Genomic DNA, 6,057 nt, shown 5'->3' on the forward strand with positions numbered 1-6,057 from the left:
CTGTCTCAGCCTCCCAAGTAGCTGGATCACAGGTGTGTGCCACCAAGCCCAGCTAATGTTTGTATTTTTAGTAGAGACAGGGTTTCACCATGTTAGCCGGGCTGATCTGGAACTCCTGACCTCAAGTGATCAGCCTGCCTTGGCCTCCCACAGTGCTGGGATAACAAGCATGAGCCACTGCGCCCGGCCTGCTTTGTATTTTAGTTCCACAAATGCCACATGGGAAGCTGTGCAGCCCTGTGGTTAAGATGGCAGGCTCTGGAGCCAGATGGCTTGGATTTAAGACCTAGTTCTACCATTTACTAGCTGTGTATCCTTAGGCCAGTTAATTACCCCCTCTGCGTTTCAGCTGCCTCCTTTGTATCATGGGAATAATTTAGCAGTGTTGTGCTATAAATTCAGATAATCCAGGATGGGCACGGTGTCTCACGCCTGTAATCCCAGCACTTTGGGAGGCTGAGGCAGGCGGATCACCTGAGGTCAGGAGTTCGAGACCAGTCTGGCCAACATGGTGAAACCTCATCTCTACTAAAAATACAAAATTAGCTGGGCATGGTGGCGGGCACCTGTAATTCTAGCTACTCCGGAGGCTAAGGCAAGAGAATCGCTTCAACCCAGGAGGCAGAGGTTGCAGTGAGCCAAGATTATGCCACTGCACTCCGGCCTGGGCGACAAGAGTGAGACTCCGTTCCCCTCCCCCCCCAAACAAAACAAAACAAAACAAAACTCCCCACCTCCCCACGGCTGCCTGGCCAAAACCAAACCAAGGGGTGGGGCTTGCGCGGGTCCAACATGTGCTACCTCAGGATGTAGTGTAACAAGGGGGCTGGGTGGGCAGAGTGGGCCTGTGAGCGCCCGCATCCCCCAGCTCCCCCCCGCAGCCGGCTCCACAATGGTCTGCTCCGGTTGCCGGGTGCGGATTCGGGTTCCGGACGCAAGGCTGCGAGTTCTCCGCTGCTTGTTGTGGCCGGGGTTACTGCGGCGACCGCCAGAGCAGCCTTGGCGCTATGTTGGAGCCAGGGGCTACCCCTCAGCGGTACTTGGGGCTGGTCCTGGGGGAGCCACGCAGGGTTGTGGCAGCGCTGCCTGAAAGTATGAGACTGGATTCGAATCCTCATGGTTTTCCATGGGAAATGGTGATATGTGCAGCTGTTGCTGCATTTTTTGCTGTTCTCCTTTTTCTGTGGAGAAGTTTTAGATCGGTTAGGAGTCGGCTTTATGTGGGAAGAGAGAAAAAGCTTGCTATAATGCTTTCTGGACTAATTGAAGAAAAATGTAAACTACTTGAAAAATTTAGCCTTGTTCAAAAAGAGTATGAAGACTATGAAGTAGCGTCATCGTTAGAGGATGCCAGCTTTGAGAAGGCGGCAGCAGAAGCACGAAGTTTGGAGGCAACCTGTGAAAAGTTGAACAGGTCCAATTCTGAACTTGAGCATGAAATTCTCTGTCTAGAAAAAGAGTTAAAAGAAGAGAAATCTAAACATTCGCAACAAAATGAATTGATGGCGGATATTTCAAAAACGATACAGCCTCTAGCAGATGAGTCAGAATCCCTCAAATCACAAGTAGCTGAAGCCAAAATGATCTTCAAGAGATTTAAAATGACTGAGAAACAACTGAAGATAGCAATAAAAGATGCTTTGAATGAAAACTCTCACCTTCAGGAAAGCCAGAAACAGCTTTTGCAAGAAGCTGAAGTATGGAACGAACAAGTGAATGAACTTAATAAACAGAAAATAACATTTGAAGACTCCAAAGTACATGCAGAACAAGTTCTAAATGATAAAGAAAATCACATCAAGACTCTGACTGAACATTTGCTAAAGATGAAAGATTGGGCTGCTAGGCTTAGAGAAGACGTAACGGATGATGATAACTTAGAAGTGAACAGTGAATCAGAAGATGGTGCTTACTTAGATGATCCTCTAAAAGGAGCTCTGAAGAAACTGATTCATGCTACTAAGTTAAATGCTTCTTTAAAAACCTTAGAAGGAGAAAGAAACCAAATTTATATCCAGTTACCTGAAATTGATAAAACAAAGGAAGAGCTTACAGAGCATATTAAAAATCTTCGGACTGAACAAGCATCTTTGCAGTCAGAAAACACACATTTTGAAAGTGAGAATCAGAAGCTTCAACAGAAACTTAAAGTAATGACTGAATTATATCAAGAAAATGAAATGAAACTCTACAGGAAATTAACAGTAGAGGAAAATAGCCGGTTAGAGAAAGAAGAGAAACTTTCTAAGGTAGACAAAAAGATCAGCCATGCCACTAAAGAGCTGGAGACCTACAGACAGCGAGCCAAAGATCTTGAAGAAGAATTGGAGAGAACTATTCATTATTATCAACGGCAGATTATTTCCCATGAGAAAAAGGCACATCATAACTGGTTGGCAGCTTGGGCTGCTGAAAGAAACCTCAATGATTTAAGGAAAGAAAATGCTCACAACAGACAAAAATTAGCTGAAACAGAGTATAAAATAAAACTTCTAAAAAAAGATCCTTATGTACTTGATGTTCCAAATACAGCATTTGGCAGAGAGCATTCCCCATATGGTCCCTCATCATTGGGTCGGCCTTCATCTGAAACGAGAGCTTTTCTCTCTCCCGCAACTCTGTTGGAGGGTCCACTCAGACTCTCACCTTTGCCTCCAGGGGGGGAAGGAAGAGGCTCAAGAGGCCCAGGGAATCCTCTGGACCATCAGATTACCAAGGAAAGAGGAGAATCAAGCTGTGAAAGGTTAACCGATCCTCACAGGTCTCCTTCTGACACTGGGTCCCTGTCACTTCCGAGGGAACAGGACCGTAGGATGATGTTTCCTCCACCAGCGCAATCATATCTTGATTCAGCTCTTCCTCCACAAAGGCAAGACAGATTTTATTCTAACTCTGGTGGACTGTCTGGACCAGCAGAACTCAGAAGTTTTAATATGCCTCCTTTGGATAAAATGGATGGGTCAATGCCTTCAGAAATGGAATCCAGTAGAAATGACACCAAAGATGATCTTGGTAATTTAAATATCCCTGATTCATCTCTCCCTGCTGAAAATGCAGCAACTGGCCCTCGCTTTGTTCCTCCACCTCTTGCCCTAATCAGAGGTCCACTGTTTCCAGTGGATACAAGGGGCCCGTTCATGAGAAGAGCACCTCCTTTCCCCCCACCTCCTCCAGGAACCAGGTTTGGAGCTTCTCGAGATTATTTTCCACCAGGGGATTTCCCAGGTCCACCACATGCTCCGTTTGCAATGAGAAATGTCTATCCACCGAGGGGTTTTCCTCCTTACCCTCCCCCAAGACCTGGATTTTTCCCCCGACCCCCACATTCTGAAGGTAGAAGTGAGTTCCCTTCAGGGCTGATTCCGCCTTCAAATGAGCCTGCTACGGAACATCCAAAACCGCAGCAAGATACCTGGCAATATTTTTGCTCTCTTCAAAAGTAATTCTGACTGATCTCATTTCAAGTAACTGCTGTTACTTAAGTGATTACACTTTTGCTCAAATTGAAACTTAATGGAATTATAATTCTTAGGATAGTATTTTGTAAATAAGGATGATTTAAATATGAATCTTATAAGTAAATTATTTCCATTGTATTTTATTCGATAGTATAACTATTTTAATTTGATTAATCCACTATTATAGAAACAACAGTGGGAGTTTTACGTATGTAATCTTGCAGGTGGGGAGGCTTTAAATTCTAAAGGCTGTGTCTTTATGCCAACAACTGTATTTACTGTAGGTGTAGACAAATGTGAAAGTAACTTTATGCTTAAATAAATTTTAGTTGATTAAAGAAATTCAGATAATCCACATGATAACCATTCAATCACTAGCAGTATTTGCCACGTCTCCACTAAACGTCTCAAAGTCGCAGAAAACACAGCATGGCCTAACAGGAGCTCTTCATTGCCTCCACACCACTCTTCTCTCAAGGAGCAGCAGTACTGCCCTCGCAGGGCTCAAGTCAACCCCTACAACACCCTGGACTCCACTCTTCACATTACCCTGCCACTGCCACTCCATCAGTGAGACTGTCTGCTCTCCCTCTACACAGTCACGTCTCTCTAGTGTCACCACCCCACTGCCCTCTCTTGTGCAAACCTCTGCCACTTCTCCTCTGACACACTACTGTAGCCACAAGCCTTGCCTCCCTGCCTGCACCCTGATCACACCTTTCATTTTCCAGGGCAGTGAAGTAAGGTCTCAACACATCAGCATAATCATGTCACTTTTCTGTTTGTTTTTCTGCCATCTGGTAGCACAGTAGCAGTGAGCCACCCTTGGCTATGCAGAGGAGGGTGACACCCAGGGGATGGTGTGAGGGGAAGGAACTTAGGTCCCCGCATATCCCCTGATCTGGGTACCACCAGCCCTACGCCTATATTTAGTGACCCTGGGCTCCACCCCACTGGACTGCTCACGTCCATGCTGTTCTGTGCAGGAGAATCAAACTTCCATCTTGTTAGGGCCAGCGTGCTTTGAAGGCTCTTGGTTACAAAAGCACCCTAACCTGCTATATTACTGTACTATACTATTACTATACTACATTACTATACCATATTATTACTATATTACTGGGGTAACCTGCACCCTAGTAATATAACAATTGGTACCTGGAGGAGGGGTGCGGCTGTGATAGAAACCTAAGTGGTACTGGCTTCACGGCCAGGCAGTGAGTAGTGAGGAAAGAGATGGTGCAGGGTAGAAAGCTAGTCATTCCCGCTACGCAGTAAAGACATCTAAAAAAATGCTGCCTGTATTAACTGGGAAGACGGATCCTGCACTTACCAAGCCTGTGTAGCTCTAGAAGAAAAAAAAAAGCAAATATGCGGTATGTTGGCTGCTCACTGCTGCCCCTAGCGAGGAACTTTGAAATAAACGAGGTTAAGTAAGAACTGGCCAATTTGCAAGCAGAGGTGGAAGATAAAATACAGGAATGCCAAGCAGCTCTGTCTTCCAGCTCCAATCCTGCAGTACTTCTTTCAGTGCCCCTAAGACGCTAAGCTCCTTCCTCCAACACTGTTTTTTGTCACCTCCCATCCTGCCTACCCCCGGTCATCCTTCAAGTCTCACACATACCTGACTTACCCACGCACCCTGGGATCTTGTGCAAGTCTCCCCATTACCATCTCATCTTACCCTCTGCTCATCAGTTAATGGACTCAGCCCAAGAAGCACTAACACGCTCAATGCCGGGTAATTTTCTGCGCGTGTTCGCTCCCCACGTACTCGTCCCCCAACACCCAGCCCTGGGCCTGGCACGTGGCAGGCGCTCAGTGAACGAGACTCAGGAACAGTCAGGTGTAGACGGCAGGAGAAGACATGACACGGATACCAAGCACCCGAGGTCCTGCAATGAGTCTCGGCCCATGTTTTAGGGAGCCTGGGTCTGGAGCCCCAGTGAGCGTGTGGGTCAGGAAGGTGCCCGAGCTCCGCGCCCGACCGCGCAGGCGCGAAACCGGGAGAGCGGCGTCACAACCCCGCCCTAACAGGCCACGCCCATCACTGGCCACGCCCTCCCAGGGACGTACGCGAGCGTGCGAGTGTCTTGGGCCAGGCCTCCTCACAGGCAGGGCCGCGCCGGCAAAAACGAGGCGCGGTGGGAACCCGCCCAGGGGCCATCCGCCCTCCCGTCCCTAACGCCCAGGCCCCGGGGGCTCACCACGTCCCCCGGAACCTGCAGATCCTCCGCCCTCCGCTGTCGCCAGCGGCCGAGCGCTAAGCTGTCCATGCAGCCCCAGGGTCAAACCCTCCCGGCATCTCAGGCCTGGCCGAGGCCCGCGCACCACGCCCCCTTCCGCACAAGGCCCTGGGGAGCCAATAAGGAGAGGGAGGGGCGGGACGCCGCGGGAAGCGCGAGAGCACCAAGGCGAGGACCGCAGGCAGGAGTAGCAGAGACCAGAGTCTTCTGAGACTATTGGGATGCTGTGGGCGTTGTCCGTCTGCCCCAAGTCATTACTTCGCAGAGAGGTCCCTGCATATCTCTGCTTGTCGCTTCTCCCTTCACAGGAGCAGCCGTGGGGCTCTAAAGAAAGCATTCTTTCAGGATCCCGC

General features: G+C 48.6%; 1 protein-coding gene and 1 pseudogene across 7 annotated transcripts in view, besides 7 other annotated features; one reads left to right on the plus strand and one right to left on the minus strand.

The window, feature by feature from the left end:
* C10orf143 (chromosome 10 open reading frame 143) overlaps positions 1-5,792 on the minus strand; it is a 75,706-nt gene extending 69,914 nt beyond the window's left edge. For all 6 annotated transcript variants that reach the window (NR_149170.2, NR_034125.2, XM_024448009.2 and 3 more), the window contains exon 1: positions 5,666-5,792. Coding sequence is in view for 4 of the 6 variants with exons in the window: in XM_024448009.2 (XP_024303777.1) it covers positions 5,666-5,734 (69 nt within the window). In the remaining 2 variants the exon portion in view is untranslated. The remainder of the gene's footprint in view (positions 1-5,665) is intronic.
* Positions 474-989: an enhancer, noted in NCBI's record as "H3K4me1 hESC enhancer chr10:131903776-131904291 (GRCh37/hg19 assembly coordinates)". NCBI's record gives its function as "activates a minimal SCP1, AML or CMV promoter by ChIP-STARR-seq in primed H9 embryonic stem cells {active_cell/tissue: H9 hESC(primed)}" and the evidence as "EXISTENCE:reporter gene assay evidence [ECO:0000049][PMID:30033119]".
* Positions 474-1,064: a biological region, named in NCBI's record as "H3K4me1 hESC enhancer GRCh37_chr10:131903776-131904291".
* Positions 869-1,064: a silencer, noted in NCBI's record as "fragment chr10:131904171-131904366 (GRCh37/hg19 assembly coordinates)". NCBI's record gives its function as "represses an EF-1alpha promoter that drives an FKBP-Casp9 reporter gene in an ReSE screen in K562 erythroleukemia cells {active_cell/tissue: K562}" and the evidence as "EXISTENCE:reporter gene assay evidence [ECO:0000049][PMID:32094911]".
* Positions 971-3,800, plus strand: CTAGE7P (CTAGE family member 7, pseudogene; annotated as a pseudogene). Its single transcript, NR_044994.1, has one exon. The product of NR_044994.1 is annotated as a CTAGE family member 7, pseudogene (transcript).
* Positions 3,997-4,256: an enhancer, noted in NCBI's record as "active region_4205". NCBI's record gives its function as "activates an Ori minimal core promoter by ATAC-STARR-seq in GM12878 lymphoblastoid cells {active_cell/tissue: GM12878}" and the evidence as "EXISTENCE:reporter gene assay evidence [ECO:0000049][PMID:35858748]".
* Positions 4,847-4,956: an enhancer, noted in NCBI's record as "active region_4206". NCBI's record gives its function as "activates an Ori minimal core promoter by ATAC-STARR-seq in GM12878 lymphoblastoid cells {active_cell/tissue: GM12878}" and the evidence as "EXISTENCE:reporter gene assay evidence [ECO:0000049][PMID:35858748]".
* Positions 5,117-5,296: an enhancer, noted in NCBI's record as "active region_4207". NCBI's record gives its function as "activates an Ori minimal core promoter by ATAC-STARR-seq in GM12878 lymphoblastoid cells {active_cell/tissue: GM12878}" and the evidence as "EXISTENCE:reporter gene assay evidence [ECO:0000049][PMID:35858748]".
* Positions 5,487-5,866: a silencer, noted in NCBI's record as "silent region_2941". NCBI's record gives its function as "represses an Ori minimal core promoter by ATAC-STARR-seq in GM12878 lymphoblastoid cells {active_cell/tissue: GM12878}" and the evidence as "EXISTENCE:reporter gene assay evidence [ECO:0000049][PMID:35858748]".

Source organism: Homo sapiens, chromosome 10 (genome assembly GCF_000001405.40).
Source record: "Homo sapiens chromosome 10, GRCh38.p14 Primary Assembly".
NCBI lineage: Eukaryota > Metazoa > Chordata > Mammalia > Primates > Hominidae > Homo > Homo sapiens.